Raw genomic sequence first — 18,137 nt, forward strand, 5'->3', positions numbered from 1 at the left:
AAACTTCTTTATTAACCAAATTATTTTGTAGTGAAATGCCATTTCCCTTCTAAGAAATGAATGGAAATAAACAATAGAGTTATTAAGGAAAAATATAGTATTTGCTGTGATAATTTTCCTGGTAAGATGTAAGAATTAATTTACTTTTAACTTCAGATGCTATCATTTTTTACCCCCTAGGATACTGTCAGGCACCAACCCTTCACCAGAAATTGTTTAAAGATTTATTTGGAGAGAGAGATGTGGCTCGGTTATAGTATATGTATTTCAAAACTCACACAGTACACTTTAAATATATACAATTTCAATTCTTTGTTGTTGTTGTTGTTGTTGTTGTTGTTGTTGTTTTGAGACCGAGTCTCGTACTGTCACCCGGGCTGGAGTGCAATGGTGCGATCTTGGCTCATTGCAACCTCCGCCTCCCGGGTTCAAGCAATTCTTCTGCCTCAGCCTCCCGAGTAGCTGGGATTACAGACATCTGCCACCATGCCCAGCTAATTTTTTGTATTTTTTAGTAGAGACAGGGTTTTACAGTGTTGGCCAGTCTGGTCTCAAACTCTTGACCTCGTGATCCACCCACCTCTGCCTCCCAAAGTGCTGGGATTACAGGCGTGAGCCACCATGCCTGGCTTCAATTCTTAAAGATTTGAATTAATTGAGTCCCTAGATTAGAAATAATTTTTTTGGTTACAGAGTCCCATCAGTTTTCTGGAAAAACGGACAAAAGGCTAAAGCTAGTTTCATTCATCACAAGGTCGCCATCTCTTAGTTCTCTAGTTTCAGGCTATTTCACTTGCTACAAGATTTGATTTTAAGAGAGATCTGTATGGAAGCATTTTAAAGTTAATGTCCAAGATTGAGCTCAAATGCAATGTGGATTCTTCTTTATTTTGAAATATTTATAGCTTTTCTATTTTTTGGCATACTCTTAATCGAGCATGCTGCCGATTGCTGGTCAATTGGCTTCGACACAGTAGTCCAGGGCCACAGTCGCAACGCTGGAAGATTTCTGGAGCTTGAGCAGTGTCTTTATGCCCTCTTCTGGAGCAGACCTGTCCCTCCAAAAGGACTGGCTTACAAATTTTCGTCCAAAAATGACGAGCACAGCAAAGTCCAGGGCCACAGTCAAAAGTTCTCAGACAACTTTCTCCCTCTTGTCCTGTAACAAGGTTAATGTGGGCTTTAGTGATAAATAAGGAAAGTGGCCTGCTGGGGGTTTGCTACTGGGATAAGGGAATGGGACCTATGACTGACAGCCACAAAGTAAAAACAGACACAGCACGCAGGTCTCACAGAGCTAGGTGTTACGCTAAAAGCAGTAATGCCATGGCGACTCCACCCCTACCCATCAGAATTGATCGTTGTTACTGGCTGCAGACTACCTTAGGCTACTCTCTACGTGACCCCCACAGCTTCTTACAGAAAGAGATAACAAACAGCACATGCTTCCTAAGTGTTTCTGGGATGGAGAAGAATAAAATCAGTCTCACCCTATCCTTAAGAGGCTGGGAGGAGAAAATGCATTTCTGAAATAAAATATGCTGCGAATGCTGTTCTTACCCTTCCTGCCTTGTGATTTCTTAATACTTGGCTTCCTTTTGGGTTGGTTTTCCTGGACTGGGTGCCCAGTTGTTCCTTCTGCATGTGTGCCATCTTGCTCATCAAGCTGCCTTTCTAATATTGGGGTTGCATCTTCCATCGTAGTACAAACATCTGAGGGACAACCAGGTGTAACTAGAATTATTAACTTCAAGGGGGAGAACCACAGACACACTAATTATCCTACTGTTGCATAGTTTGGCAGCACCTCTGCCTTCAGTTTATATATAACTTTCTAGATTTCTGGAACATGTGCTAAATATTTACATGCTCGCATGTGGCAGAGAAAGTAGCTAAGTGGAAATTGCATTCCATTAAAGGTAGTTAATGGTATCCAAGTGGAAATGGAAGTATTTGAATGATTACAACTTGAGTCTTTCCTTTAAAATCATTATCTCCAAGTCATTGGCAAGAGCTGTTGCCAGGAAATAAATTATTTTGTTTCATTAAGAAAAGGCAAGCCGGGTCCGGTGGCTTACGCTTGTAATCCCAGCACTTTGGGAGGCCGAGGTAGGTGGATCACCTGAGGTCAGAAGTTCGAGACTAGCCTGACCAACATGGTGAAACCCTATCTCTACTAAAAATAACAAAAATTAGCCGGGCATGGTGGTACATGCCTGTAGTCCTAGTTACTCCAGAGGCTGAGGCAGGAGAACCACCTGAACCCGGAGGCCGAGGCTGCAGTGAGCTGTGGACAACAAGGGCGAAACTCCGCCTCAGAAAAAAAAAAAAAAGGAAAAGAAAAGGCAGCTGCATACATTTACTTCAAGCATGAATCTAGGAAGCACCATTAGAGAGTGCCTACCCTGGAATATTCTAGTCTATGGGGCTTAGACACTACCTTCGGTTTAAAAACCACTGTTGGCGTTATGTCGCTCACCGTTCACACAGAGTGTCCCAGGGCAGCACATGGCATCTCGCTGGCACCTCCTCCGCAACCCACGACATGTAGCACAGAACGGCTTCTCATCGCGGGGCTGGAGGCAGAACTTTCTGGTATTGCAGTCCGTGTCAGACAGGCACTGTGAGCCCTGTGGAGGGAATCTGTTATCACAAGGCTAGGAAACCCCCAACACGATGGAAGATGACTTATTATTGAAGGCAGGAGGCGGAGGGAGCCAAAGGACAGTGGCGCTGTGACAAACCCTGGGCAGCATCTTACTCTCCAGTGGAAATGGTTTTCTCCCACAAAGGGAAGCTCATGTCACCCGGGGAGACCTAGGCGCTGCAAAGGCTATTTGAGTTTGAAAAATTGACTTAACTCAGAATTTAGTTTTCCTGTGCTCTTTGTGAAAATGGGAAAAAATGTTTTCCTATGTGTGTCTTAACAGGTGAGTATGAGATTTTCAATATATCTTAACTCTAGAAGCTGGCTACAGTTTCATTAAACATACTATTGATGTTTGTGGCATTCCTATTTGATTTTTTACTCTAGTGAATCACATTTAGCTTAGAGACCCTTCCCTAAGTGAACTGTCCTTTGATTTTCAATGATGCCTCATTGACATAGAGAAAGAGATACCGAAGATCAATTGTTCTCATACACAGTTGATGCTTCTACATAGACATACAACGTAGGTGTAGCATATATGATATATGTAATAATCTATACGATATATAATAACATATACACATACATAAAGCGATTCCTAAAACAACTCTCTCTGTGAAGTTAGATGGTGACAAGGCAATGCATCATGGCCCTCTGTTTAAATTCTCATTCCCATGTTTGCTTGCTGGCTGTGTGAGCTTGGGTAAGCTCTTCAACATCTCTGAGTCTTATTTCCTCATCTGGAATTAGGGAATGTTTCACCTATCTCAAATTGTGAGGAAGAGTACATGACGTATTACATGTAAAAGAGCTGGCACATAGTAGAGCTTCCAAAGTGTTCGTTTATTTCGTGATTTATAGACAAACGTATGGCCGAATGATGTGAAAAGCCACTGTGTTTATTTCATACATTCACACTAAGGCCACTGATCCTACCAGGATGCCCTCCCAAATCCGAAACCAATTCAATTTACCTGCTAGGTAAGACATTTCATACATGAATCAGAATGACTTACTAAAGCCTAAACAAAACACCCCAGCTGTCAGCAGTCCCGTACCTCGCCCCCCTCCCTAGCAGCCTTACCTTCCGGGCCCCATGCAGGTCAGCAGAGCTCCTGATGTTGTTGAAGTCCAGGACCAGAGCTCCCAGGGGAGAGCAGAGCCAGCTCAGCCCCAGCAGGACGGCCGCCACCATCCTTCAATCCCGGGGCTCCTGGAGGGTCCCAGCACTGTGCGTCACCAAAGCGAGGCTGCTCTCCACCCAGAGCAGAGCTTCCACTAAGCTGGCAGCTCAGCACGTCGTCTGTTTGTCACTGCTTTTTCTGAAAGAAGTAAACCTTAGTCTGAGTAAGGTGCGTGAAATCGGCTGAGCAAAGTCTGACCAGCAGGTTCCTCCTGAAACTATTTATAACCAGATGTGCCTCCTCCCCGCTCCGTTCCTTCCTCCTGCCCCACACAGGCTTCAACAAATCCCTTCAAATCTGTTTGATCAATAGTTCAAAACAAGGACTCAATAGAAGGAGAGAAGAGGCAGGGCCATGCGGCTTCTCCTCCAGGGGTTCAATCCCTCTTAATTATTGCATATCAAAGTTAGTTCAAAGGGCCACGGCAGAGCAGGATGTCTGTATCAAAGGCAAACTCTGATAATCACCTGCATTTCCTACCTTCAGTAATCCTTTGGGGGTAGGGAGGGAGTCTGCCCTAAGATCTGTTTTCACAGCTAATTGTGCTCAAAGAAAGGATGAATCATACTGGCCAATATGCTATAGAGGATGCCAAAAACTAATGAGGTACAAAATACACTGAGAAGCTGTAAACTGGGCTTCAGATAGTGAGGACAGATAGAAAAAGAGAAAACGCCCCCTGATTAGCTCTGGCATCCAGATGTCAAAATCCCAACCGCTTAAAAGTTGTGAACGTAACAGCACCTGTTCTGACTAAATGCCATTTGGGAAATTACTTTCCTTTAAATGAAAATTGAACTGTTTGAAGTTAGGGTTATTAGGAAAATAATGTAATTTATGAAAATCCCATTTTTCAATGGTGGGAACAATGATAGCGCATTTTACACAATTCAGTACGAAGCTTTGGGTCCATTTTATCAGCAACATATTTAATTTGTGTTGCATTATGTAAAACTCACTTAAGCAGAACAAGGATCCAAGTCTCTGGCTGATTTCAGATGAAATTTCATGTATTTCCAATTTTCCTAATACGAATTTTTTAAAACTTCTGCTTCATCCCTTTCCTGTCTGATTTTTTTCCATTTGGACTATTAGTCAGGTAATTTAGACATGTGCTTATCACTGTCTTAAATACTTTAAGGGTAGAACAATCTAGATCTGGATCAAAAAATCATTTTTTCTCTTCATTGTTTCATTGCTCTTAGCATAGAGTCATCTAAAATGCATTTTTTCTATGCCATAAATGATAATCTTATTATTTACTACATTTTCCTGCAGAACAACCTAACATCAATTCATTGACATGAATCTCAGCATTCTGTGCATGGGAACATTCTCAATTTTGAGTAATGCAGTGCCATTCCGAGGGTGATGCAGGTGATTCGAGCCTTCCTACTACTTGGCCCTTGTCCTTGGGTTGGTATTGCTTGTCTACCTCTCGTATGGAAGTTACTTGTTTTAATCCCTTAAACTGACATCAAACAACACCCTTTGATAGCATGATAACCCTGGTGACTAGGGGTGTTACAGAATTTATTTTCAAGTTGTACAATTATGACCAAGGATAAAGGAAAGAGCCCCCAGGGTTCTGTCTCTGCCGGGTTTCTCTGCTTCCTGCTGCCTCACTGTAAGGGAATTTCAGGTTACCAAAGGCCCCTGGCAATATACACAGGCGAAAGAACTGACGGGAACTCCTGTAACACGGCACAAACAGCCACTGAGCACTTAGAGCACTTGGCATGGAACAGAGCCTCGGATTACATGTTAGGAATAAAATTTGAAACTCCAATGGCCGGGCACAGTGGCTCACACCTGTAATCCCAGCACTTTGGGAGGCCAAGGTGGGAAGATCTCCTGAGCTCAGGAGTTCAAGACGAGCCTGGGCAACATATTGAGATCCTGTCTCCACAAAAAAAAAAAAAAAAAAAAAAGTAGGCCGCGTGCGGTGGCTGACGCCTGTAATCTCACCACTTTGGGAGGCTGAGGTGGATGGATCACCTGAGGTCAGGAGTTCGAGACCAGCCTGGCCAATATGGTGAAACCCTGTCTCTACTAAAAATATAAAAACTAGTCGGGCGTGGTGGTGGTCACCTGTAATCCCAGCTACTCGGGAGGCTGAGGCAGGAGAATTGTTTGAACCTAGGAGACCGAGGTTGCAGTGAGCCAACACGGTGCCACTGCACTCCAGCCTCGGCAACAGAGTGAGACTCCATCTCAAAAAAAAAAAAAATTAGCCAGTCATAGTGGTGTTCACCTGTAGTTTCAGCAACTCAGGAAGCTGAGGTGGGAGAATCATTTAAGCCCAGGAGATTAAGCCTATATATATATATATATATATATATATAGAGAGAGAGAGAGAGAGAGAGAGAGAGAGAGAGAGAGAGAGAGAGAGAAAGATTCAGACAGAAAACTTGTATGTATGGATGACAGAGCCTGGGTGACACAGAGAGAGAGAGAGATCCAGATAGAAGACATGTACATATGGATGATTTCAATGTATTATGACAAGCACTAAAATAAAGGTATAAATATAAGGGTGGAGGACTTATGAAGATATAAATACAGACGAAGGCATGATTTAGACTTTCTAGAGAAATAAAGGAATGTGTTTACAGATGAGGTAATATTTGAGCTGAATTTTGTTGGTTGCATAGGGGCTTCCTAAGTTGGGAAGTCGGAGATATCCTCACCTGGGCTCAGAGGGTGAGGTGTGTGCAAGAGGGAGGAGGTGCACTCAGGTGCTAGTGAGAGATTGTGTGGCTGCGGCAGATGATGGAAGGATGAGATGAAGCAAGATGCAGACCCTGATATGCCATGCTAAGAAAATCAGATTCTATTCTCTGCACAATGTAAAGTCATTGGAGATATATCAGACTGAGAATGCCATGATCCGCTGGGTGCAGTGGCTCATGCTTGTACCCAGCACTTCGTGAGGAGGATAAAGCAAGAGGACCACTTGAGGCCAGGGAGCAGCCTGAACAACATAGCAAGACCCTGTCTCCACAAAAAATAAAAAACCTGGGCATGCCAGCACTTGCCTGTAGTCTCTGTTACTTGGGAAGGTGAGATGGGAGGATCACTTGAAGCCAGGAGTTCAAGAGCAGCCTGGGCAACATAACAAGAACCCATCTCTACGAAAAATACAAAAATTACCCTGGTGTGGTGGCACGTGTCTGCAGTCCTAGCTATTCAGGAGGCTGAGGCAAGAGGATTGCTTGAGCCTAGGAGGTCAAGGCTGCATGATCCTATCCCTGCACTCAAGCCTGGGTGACAGAGCGAGACCCTGTCCTCCCACCAACAAGAAGGAAGGGAGGGAGGGAGGGAAAGAGAGAAAGAGAGACAGAGAAAGAAAGAAAGGAAGGAAGGAAAAAAGAAAGAAAAGAAAGAAGGGAAAGAAGAAGAGAGAGAGGAAGGAAGGAAGGGAGGGAAGGAGAGAGGGAGGGAGGGGGAGAGAGAGAGAGAAAGGAAGGAAGAAAAGAAAAGAAAAAAGAGAGGAAGGAAGGGTGAAAGGAAGGAAGGAAGAAAAAATGAAAGGAAGACAAACGAAAGGAAGGAAGGAGAGAGAAGGGAAGGAGAAAGAAAAAGAGAAAGAAAGAAAGAGGAAAGAAAGTGAGAGAAAGGAAGGAAGAAAGGAAGAAAGAGAAAGAAAAGAAAAGAAAAGAAAAAAGGGAGGGAGGAAGGGAGGAAAAAAGGAAGGAAGGAGAGAGTGGAAAGAGAGAGAGAGAGAGAGAAAGAGGAAGAATGTGAGAGAAAGGAAGAAAGAAAAAGAAAAGGAAGGAAGGAAGGAAGGAAGGAAGGGAGGAAAAAATAAATGAAAAAAGGAAGGAGAGAGAAAGGAAGGAGAAAGAAAGAGAGAGAAAGAGAAAGAAAATGAGAGAAAGAAAGAAAAAGAAAGAAGGAAAGAACGAACAAACGAAAGAAAGAGAAAGAAAAAGAAAGACACTGGTGTGATCTAATTTGCTTTCAGGGCACAATGCTGGTGGCAGTATGGTGCTTAGGTTGCACTGGGAGAGAGGGGAGGTTGGGGGCCACTTAGGACTCAGTTGTCATTGCCCCGATGACAATGAAGAGGTCCAATTTGAGGCAGTGACACAGTGACAATGGGAACCAAGCAAAGGATGGGAGTCTGAAGTTCGAGCTGCATCACTGGATGTGGGAGTGGGGAGGGAGGGGAGGAGGAGCTGGGATGATCCTGCCTTCTCTGATTTGGTGCACTGGGTGGGTAGAGGTGGGCCTAGAGACAGAGAATTCAGGATGAAAATCAGGTTGGGGGAGCAGGATAAGAGGGTGCCTTGAGAAAAGCTGTCCGCACAATCAACTGTTTGCAGGATATCTACTGTGGAGATATAAGAGTAGCCATTGTGTCTTCCACGAACCAGGCTCTCCGTTTTGCCTCTGAGAGACAGAGAGGAGTGGGTGCAAGCACCAGATGCCAGAGGATCACCAACAGGGGGTGAACAACACTGAAGAGCGACCCTGTGCCTGTCTGTGTCTGTCCATCTCTGTCTCTGTCTCAGCACTGACAGAATGTGGGCTTTGGGGCCGGGCCTGACTCTATTACCAGCTGGGCCTCCTCTCCCCTGTCTGCCCTGATCTGTGCATACGCCAGCCTGTCACAGCGCTTCTAAAACCCCACTGCAATTGCCTACTTCTTTGTCTCTACAACTAGACCATGAGCTCGAGCCAGGCGCGGTGGCTCACGCCTGTAATCCAAGCACTTTGGGAGGCTGAGGAGGGTGGATCACTTGAGATCAGGAGTTCAAGACCAACCTGGCCAACATGGTGAAACTCCATCTCTACTAAAATACAAAAATTAGCTGGGCATGATGGCACACACCTGTAATCCCAGTTACTTGGGAGGCTGAGGCAGGAGAATTGCTTGAGCCCAGGAGGCAGAGGTTGCAGTGAGCCAAGACTACACTACTGCACTCCAGCCTGGGCGACAGAGCAAGACTCCATCTAAAAAACAAAAACAAAAACACGACAAAAAAACCTCTAAACAAATGCCTCTCATCCATTTTCCAGGCCAGAACTTTCCATCTTCCATAGACTTTAGTGCCTTAGCAGGCTGTCAATGGACATGTGTTCGATACAACTCATCAAAGAAAAACCTCCCTTAATCTGAGGCCTCATTTTGCAATAAGACTAGGGTTACGGTCTCTAAAAAGCCAGAGCAATTTTGGAGGAAAGTAGGTATGTGAAGTAGTTTTGGGAACATGACATTTGGTATATTTTCAGATTTCCCAAGGCTGCTTGCCTGCACAGTGTCCCTCAGCGAGAATGCCAACAACTGAAATGAGATGCCCCCCTGTGGCAGCGTCTACTGCCAGGAGCCCGCATCTCCATGATTTGGGGACTAGAGATGATGGGGCAGTGGGGAGAGGATGCACGGTGAAGCAGGTGTGGAGAGGAAAACTTAAAAAATGTTTCTGCTTAAAGGGCATCCTCTTTGCTCTTAGGTCAGACCACAAGTTTCACGACACAGGCCACAGCAGCAATGACCTCACAGAATTCACTCCACAAGGCCTCCTGAGCGGCACCTGGAGCCGTGGCTGTCTTTTGAAAAGTGGCACCACAAGACACTCCTTTAGCCACAGAACAAAGGAAGCCGTCGTGCGAAGTTCTGGCCAAGGTGCTGCCATACTGATGCCCCCTGGCAAGGATTATGGGTTAACTGGAAAATTTCAGGCTGATGCTTCAAGTTTTGCAGTGAGCGCCTAGCTCATGGGAACACTAAAATCGAGTAATACTGACTAAGCTTAGAGGAAATGAAATTTCTCAAAAAAAAATTTCCAGAGGTCCCAGTTTCTGCACTGATTCCACTCTTTGGGTAAAAATTGCAGACTCGTGTTTGAGACCTGCCACCTGTGTCCTCCCGCGTGACAGCTGCTGTGGTTCACGTCAAAGGCTGGGTGTCAGAACCGATTATTTATACTCACTCGGGAATGGAAATTTTTATTTGTTATGCCTCCTGTGTCAAAACCAGTTTGATTTCCATAAGTTTTGCTTTCCTTAAAACAAAATCAAAGTAACGGAAGCAAGCAGGTCTTTGGCAGAATCTCACAGGAAATATTCCATCAAATAAAAGATGAGAAGGGGCATGTTGATGGGGCGGGCAGACAAACCGCAGGATGTGATCACAGAGATGACAGAAATGTTGCCATTTGGTTCCCTGAGGTCAGAAGGTAAGGCCAGCCCTCCACAAGGCTGGGGAGTGAAGGGCAGCACCCAGGGACAGCACAGGGGGGATGCCAGGGTGGCTGGTGCCAGCCACTTTTGCAGACGGTATAGCCTCTGGCAGGTCATGTCACACTCAGCCTCAGTTCCTTCTGGTCTTGAGGGCCTTTTACACACCAGTGTTCTGGGAGATTGGGCTGGCATCTGCCATGGCCTCCAAGTTGCTCAGCTCCAGGAGGCACCTTTGGACCATGTTCCATGCACGTGGCCCACGCCTTTGGAGCTGTGCAATGTGCTGGTGCAGGGAACCTCCCTTTCCAGCAGCAACAGCCTTGGAGTTGTCCTGACTCCACAACAGGCATCTGGCTGGGAATAGCACCAGGGTCCCTGGACCCTCCTTCCTCAAAGATAGGCTCTGCCATTGTTTTGTTTTAAAATAAAATCAGGTTGGCCGGGCACGGTGGCTCACACCTGTAATCCCAGCACTTTGCAAGTCCGAGGCAGGCAGATCACTGGAGGTCAGGAGCTCGAGACCAGACTGGCCAACATGGCGAAACCCCGTCTCTACTAAAAATACAAAAATTTGCCAGGCATGGTGGTGCGCGCCTGTAATCCCCGCTACTCAGGAGGGTGAGGCAGAAGAATCACTTGAACCTGGGAGGCAGAGGTTGCCGTGAGCCAAGATCATGCCACTGCACTCCAGCCTGGGGAACAGAGCAAGACTCTGTCTCAAAAAAGAAAAAACAATCAAGTTGTGTCCATTTGTGCCTTCCTAGGTCCTAAGGGCCACACCCCCCGCACCCCCCTACCCTGTTCCTGGGCACTATCCCGCTTTCCTTCCTGTGTGCCACGCTGCGGCTGACATGTTCATGGGACACAAAACATGGTGGGGGGAGGTCTGCCATCTTTGGATCTGAGTCCTAAGATGCAGACCAAACTGGGTCTCATTCTTCAATTCTTTATTTTTAGGGACAGGGTCTCATTTTGTCACCTGGGCTGGAGTGCAGTGGTGCAAGCACAGCTCACTGTAGCCTCAAACTCCTGAGCTCAGCTCCCCGAGTAGCTGGGATTATAGGTGCATGCCACCGCAACAGCTAATTTTTGTATTTTTTGTGGAGATGGGGTCTTGCTATGTTGCCCAGGCTGGTCTTGAACTCTTGGGCTCAAGCGATCCTCCCACCTTGGCCTCCCAAAGTGCTAGGATTACAGTCATGAGCCACAGTGCCCAGCTACATCTGATTCTTTTCTTTAGATTTAAGTGGTGAATCCTGTTGCATTAGGAAACCCAGTCTTTCTAGGTGTTGAGGTGTATCTGGCTCAGCGGGTGTGATCTTGGCCCCTCTGTCCCAGGCTCCTACCTTGAGTGTCGTCCAGGCCTTCCCAGGACTTTGGCCAAAGAAAGCCACCTGCAGCTGAAGCCTCTCTCTTGGGGGGCCTTACCCAGCCAGGAGTTTCCCTCTGGTCGTCTCCATGTTAAAAATGAAGACACCGAGACTCGGAGGGACCACTAATCTGCCACAGGCCCACAACGAGGGGGCTGCAGACCTGGGATCTGAACACAAGAATTCTGGTTTCAAAGTTCATTCTTTCCTCTATGCCTGCTACACATGTCACTAACTGACGTCTATTTCCAAACACCAAGTTGATGAAAACAACATAAAATCACAAGGAACACTGCCTGGGCTATTTTCCAATTACGACTCTGGTTGTATGTCACCTCCTTCTTTCCCAAACTGTCTCTGATTAAATGGAAGCTAGAGCTTCACTAGGAAGTGACTGAGACTAAATGACTTGTAGGTGGTGTCATCAGGGCTGTAACATAGCTGTGTGTGGTATGGTGACAACATTGGTTTCTCCATAAAACAACTTAGTAATTACTTGCTGCCCTTCTGACATTCAAATTAGACCTGTGGCCAGGCACTCTAATTCCAGCACTTTGGGAGGACAAGGCAGGAGGATTGCTTGAGCCCAGTAGTTTAAGACCAGTCTGGGCAACATAGTGAGACCCCATTTCTACAAAAAATAGAAAAATTAGCCTGGTGTGGTGGTTCACACCTGTAGTCCCAGCTACTCGGGAGGCTGAGGCGGGAGGATCGCTTGAGCCTAGGAGGTTGAGGCTGCACTGAGCTGAGATGGCGCTGCTGCACTCCAGCCTGGGCAACAGAGTGACACCCCGTCTCAAAAAAAGAGAAAAAAAATCTAAAAACGATACACAAATTAGATTCTGACTTTGGTAGAAAGTCCTCAGACACAGCTCAGATCCTAATTCATAGCTGTGTTCATAACCTCATGAAGATCTTGGGTGAGGCTCTGGGGACACATGGGGAGTGGGAGGGGAGTTTGTCACCTTGGCCCCCCCATACCGCCACTGCCCCCACAGGTCTGGCTTCTCTTTTACCTTGTCTCCTTGCTCCCCCTTGTGGCAAAGAGTGAGGTGCACATTCAGAAGGCCCAGCACAAAGTCCAGGCTCCTGATTCCAGGAGCATTTCCCAATTTCTGGTGGAAATTTCCCATGGAATAGCACTGTCCTTCTCATACATCTAGGTTCTTCCCCAACTTATGCAAGTGAGCCTCACTTTTTCAATTATAAAAGAAATACATTCCCAAATCTTAGAAATGTTGGAAAATACAGAAAAGTATGAGGAAGAAAATTGAAGTCAGATATCTAGAAATTTTGGTAAAATTTTCCCAATTTTTTTCTATGCAGTCATGTATACATATGTACATGCAGCATTTATTTATTTAATATGCAATATAATTAATCTACTATCAGTTCCAAAATTAGCCATTACTAATGCCTACATCTGCTCATGTGCGCCTCTTCTTCCCAATCCCTCTGTCTGCCTCCCCGGATTGGAGGTATACACTGAGGTTGCTGTTTTCAGAGACGAAGTCTCACTGTGTTGCCCGGGCTGGAGTGCAGTGGCCATTCACAGGCAGGATCAGAGTGCACTACAGCCTGAAACTTCTGGGCTCAAGTGATCCTCCCGCCTCAGCCTCCCAAGTAGCTGGGGATATAGGTGTGCACCACTGCACCCAACTTGATGTTTATGTTTATTGCTCCCTTGCTTCTTAAAATTACAATACACACACACACACACACAATTGGGATTACACTGTACATATACTTTTGTTCCCTCCTTTATCTTTTTTCAATGAGCCTTTCTTCAAGATCATCAAATATTATCAGAACCCATGGCTATACCACAACCCAGAATATGGATGTATTATAATTTATTTAATGTCCGCTAGATGTTGGCCATTTGGGTTCTTTTGGCTTTGCTTTGCTTTTGTTTTGAGATGGTGTCTCACTGTGTCACCCAGGCTGGAGTGCAGTGGCGCCATCTCGGCTCACTGTAGCCTCAACCTCCTGGTCTCAAGCGATCCTCCCAGCCCCTCCTGAGTAGCTGGGAACACAGACGTGCGCCACCAACCTCAGCTAATTTTTTATTTTTTATAGAGATGGGGGTCTCGCTATATTTTTCAGGCTGATCTTGAACTCTTGGCCTTAAGCGATCTTCCTGCCTCAACTTCCTGAGGTGCTGGGATTACAGGCGTGAGCCACCATGCCAGGCCAGCCCTTTTTCTTTAAAGAAACGGAATTGAACTACACAGCTGGCTTCAGAATCATATCCTACACTCAGGGTAATTGAGCTATGAAGTCTTTACAGAAGAGCTGCTGTTCTCAGCTGTTTTTTCAATCTCTGAGAGTAAAACTATACTAAACTTCCAAGATTTTTCTCTGAACGAGGCCACAGGGGGTTACCTTGGCTCAGCGGGTGACCTGGGCTGGGAGCCTGCTCCCTTGGGGACAGCATCTCCCTGGGCCTCTGCACTCAGATGCTCTGGGTGTTTCCCTGGATGGCAGCTCTGAGCACTGTCATTGTGCCCTGGACACGAAAGACGCTTAGCAAACATCCCTCAAAGGAAGGCATTGAGAGTCCCTTCCCAGCTCTAAAATTCTGATTCTATTGATTTGACAGGAGAATGCCATGGGTATTGGTATCAGGATTTGGACTGAGAAAGCCCTTTCCACACTTCCCAAGAGTTTAGATAGCAGTGTGGGTGGGAAATGAGAATGTGAGAACGAGTGCATTATTTGGCTGTAGTTCTGAGGTGGTGAAGGCCAGTCTTTTTTTTTTTTTTTTTTTTTTTTTTTTTTGAGATGGAGTTTCACTCTTGTTGCCCAGGCTGGAGTGCAATGGCACGATCTCTGCTCAATGCAATCACCACCTCCCGGGTTCAAGTTATTCTCCTGCCTCAGCCTCCTGAGTAGCTGGGATTACAGGTGCCCTCCACCATGCCCAGCTAATGTTTTTGTATTTTTAGTAGAGACAGGGTTTCACCATGTTGGCCAAGCTGGTCTCAAACTCCTGACCTCAGGTGATCCACCTGCTTCAGCCTCCCAAAGTGTTGGGATTACAGGTGTGAGCCACTGCGCTCAGCCAATGAAAGCCAGTCTTGATAAGGACATTAAGTGTGAATCTAGAGCGAGCTAACTGGACAGGACTAGAGGGACAGGAAGCAAAGGATGGATCCTTCCTGCAGCAGCTGACTTCCTCCACGGTTTTCTCATCACCTTCTTGCTTCAGGTCTTTCTGGATTACCTGGGACTGGTGTTGTCAGGTCCTTTCAGAAGAAAGACCTTCAGATAACAGAATGTTGTGAAATTTCCATTAAAAAAATTTTTTTTAACAGATAAGGATCTTGGTCTGTCACTCAGGCTGTGGTACAGTGTATGATCATAGCTCATTGTAGCCTTGACCTCCCATCCCAGGCTCAAGCCATCCATCCTTCCACCTCTGCCTGCTCAGTAGTCAGGACTACAGGAGGCCACCATCACCCTCAGCTAATTAAAAATGTTTTTTTTAGAGACAGGGTCTCACTATGTTGCTCAGCCTACACTTGTACTCCTCGCCTCACAGGATAGTCTGAAGTTGTGGCTCTAATATTCATATGTATATGAATAAACGTGAGTTTTGCCTGTATAGCTTTTAAACTCCTTTCTTTTCTTTCTTTTTGTTTTGTTTTATTTGAGAGGGAGTTTCACTCTGTCGCCCAGGCTAGAGTGAAGTGGGGCAATCTCAGCTCACTGCAACCTCTACCTCCCAGGTTCAAGCAATTCTCCTGCCTCAGTCTCCTGAGTAGCTGGTACTACAGGCATGTGCCACCATGCTCGGCTAATTTTTGTATTTTTAGTAGAGACGGGGTTTCACCATGTTGGCCAGGCTGGTCTCGAACTCCTTATCTCGGGTGATCCACCCGCCCGAGCCTCCCAAAGTGCTAGGATTATAGGTGCAAGGCACCGCACCTGGTCTAAACTCCTTTCTTTTCTTTTCTTCTTTTATTTAATTAATTAATTAATTAATTAATTTTTGAGACGGAGTCTCACTCTGTCGCCAGGCTGGAGTGCAGTGGCATGATCTTGGCTCAGTGCGAACTCCGCCTCCCAGGTTCAAGTGATTCTCCTCCCTCAGCCTCCCGAGTAGCTGGGACTACAGGCGCACACCACCACGCCCAGCTAATTTTTGTATTTTTAGTAGAGACGGGGTTTCACCATGTTGGCCAGGATGGTCTCGATCTCTTGGCCTTGTGATCTGCCTGCCTTGGCCTCCCAAAGTGCTGGGATTACAGGCGTGAGCCACTGCGCCCAGCCAACTCCTTTATTTTCATGTGTTATTTACTGATGAACATTTTCTATAAGCCAGGTAAATTATGCACTATGGTTACATTATTTGTTTGTTTTTGGAGATGGTGTCTCCCTCTGTCGTCCAGGCTGTAGCGCAGTGGCGCAATCACAGCTCACAGCAGCCTTGACCTCCCTGGGCTCAAGTGATCTTCCCACCTCAGCCTCTCAAGTAGCTGGGACTACAGGCACATGCCACCCATGCCTGGCTAATTTTTGTATTTTTTGTAGAGATGGGGTTCAACATATTGCCTAGGCTTGTCTCAAACTCCTGGGCTCAAGCAATCCACTGCCTCAGTCTTCCAAACTGCTAGGATTACAGGAGTGAGCCATGGCACCCGGCCTGGATACATTATTTGATTTAATATCCACTACAATCCTGAGTAGATATTAAGTTAGTTCTGTTTCACAGATGTGGAAACTGAGGCAGAGAGAGGTTAATGCTTGCCTAAGACCACAGAGTTGGCAAAGCTGAGACACAAATTCAGCTCTTTGGACTCCTAAGCTCACTTTATTTCGCCTACTAGGTTATACTACCTTGCTTATGACATTGACCATATTTGGCCTCATTCAGCAGATATTTGTCCAAGTCTTACATTATGAGTCTCTTGGGGACATGTATCTTACTTATCTCTTATTAACTTCAAATACCTTTCACACAGCGGTCAAATCTGATATTTGCCTTTTGATTCAAGCAGCAACTTGGTATTGTGTACTGTGGAGTATCACAGACTTTGTGGGGGACTTTTTGTCTCTTTTTATTTCAAAAAAAATTTTAAACTCAGTGGAAAATTTCAAGAATAGTGCAATGAACACACATATACGTTCCACCTCGATTAACCAATTGTTAACATTTTATCATATTTGCTTTTTCTTTTTTTCTGGATCATTTGAGGGTTAGTTGCAGCTACATGATATTTCACTTCTAAATACTTCAGCATGCATCTCCTAAAATCAAGGCCATTTCTGCATAACCAACGTACACTATCCTTAGAATTTTTTTTTTTTTTTTAGACGGAGTCTTGCCCTGTCACCCAGGCTGGAGTGCAATGGCACGATCTTGGCTCACTGCAACGTCCACCTCCGGGGTTCAAGTTGATTCTCCTGCTTCAGCCTCCCCAGTAGCTGGGATTACAGGCACCCGCCACCATGCCCAGCTAATTTTCTGTATTTTTACTAGAGTCGGAGTTTCACCATGTTGGCCAGGCTGGTCTCGAACTCCTGACCTCAAGTGATCCGCCCCCCTCGGCCTCCCAAAGTGCTAGGATTACAGGCGTGAGCCACCGCGCCCGGGGCCCCCTCAGAAAATTTTACATTGTTGCCACACTAATCTACTCTCCATTCAAATTTCCCCGATTGTCCCAATAACGTTCCTCAGTAGCTGGTTTTGTTTGTTTGGTTTTTATTCAGGGTCTAATTTAGGATCACACATTGCTTTTAGTGCCATATCTTTTGCTTCCTTTTTTTTTTTTTTTTTTTTTTTGAGACGGAGTCTCGCTCTGTCGCCCAGGCTGGAGTGCAGTGGCGCGATCTCGGCTCACTGCAAGCTCCGCCTCCCGGGTTCACGCCATTCTCCTGCCTCAGCCTCCCGAGTAGCTGGGACTACAGGCGCCCGCCACCACGCCCGGCTAATTTTTTGTATTTTTAGTAGAGGCGGGGTTTCACTGTGTTAGCCAGGATGGTCTCGATCTCCTGACCTCATGATCCGCCCGCCTCTGCCTCCCAAAGTGCTGGGATTACAGGCTGCTTCCTTTAACCTAGAGCAGTTCACTAGCCTTTTTCCTAATCTTTCATGAAACTGACATTTTTGAAGACTGGGCAGTTGTCTTGCAGGTCTCTCAGTTTGGATTTGCCTGATTGTTTCGTCCTGAAGAGAGGCAAATTACACACTTTTACAAGAATATTATCTCTGTGTCCCTCTCTGTGCCTCACACCAGGGGCATATGTCAGTCCCTACCATCCCCCGTTTGATCAGTCTCTTTGATGTGAAGGTACCCTTTTCTCTTTAGTGAGTAATCTATGGGGGTGATACTTTGAAACCATATGAACATCCTCAACGGTCCACTGATCATTTCAGCCTGAATCAATTATTATCATGGTGGTTCCAAGACGATGATTTTCTATTTCTGTCATCTATTCTACCTTTATTAGTTGGTCTTCTCCTCTACAGAAGAGCTTTTTCTCCTCCACATCCTCTGCCCCTTTGAATTATCATCTCTCACTACTTGTGGGATCTTGAATCAATCACTTACTCCCTGGGGACCTGTGTATTCTCATCCTTAAGACGAGATGACCTAAGAGTGACACTCTTGAAGTCTGGTCAGTCTGAAATGAAATTCCCATAAGAGGCTGGGCGTGGGCTCAGGCCTGTGATCCCAGCACTCTGGTAGGCGCAGGCGGGCGGATCACTTATGCCGTGGAGTTCGAGACCAGCCTGGA

At 45.9% G+C, this 18,137-nt stretch overlaps 1 protein-coding gene across 3 annotated transcripts; it reads right to left on the minus strand.

Moving 5' to 3' along the window:
* Positions 1 to 862: 862 nt before the first annotated feature.
* DKK4 (dickkopf Wnt signaling pathway inhibitor 4) lies at positions 863 to 18,122 on the minus strand. Of its 3 annotated transcripts, none has more exons than XM_017013316.2 (5): positions 17,841 to 18,122; positions 3,735 to 3,972; positions 2,480 to 2,630; positions 1,561 to 1,713; positions 863 to 1,159 (listed from the first exon to the last, which is right to left on the minus strand). In XM_017013316.2, exons 2-5 carry the CDS (start codon positions 3,843 to 3,845, stop codon positions 900 to 902), a joined length of 675 nt encoding a protein of 224 aa, XP_016868805.1. In that variant the 5' UTR covers positions 3,846 to 3,972; positions 17,841 to 18,122; the 3' UTR covers positions 863 to 899. The 3 variants fall into 3 exon arrangements, with proteins under 3 accessions (XP_016868805.1, XP_011542790.1, NP_055235.1); XM_011544488.3 differs by lacking the exon at positions 17,841 to 18,122 and adding an exon at positions 11,370 to 11,899; NM_014420.3 differs by lacking the exon at positions 17,841 to 18,122 and having other exon boundaries at positions 3,735 to 4,029.

Source organism: Homo sapiens, chromosome 8 (assembly GCF_000001405.40).
Source record: "Homo sapiens chromosome 8, GRCh38.p14 Primary Assembly".
Taxonomy (NCBI): domain Eukaryota; kingdom Metazoa; phylum Chordata; class Mammalia; order Primates; family Hominidae; genus Homo; species Homo sapiens.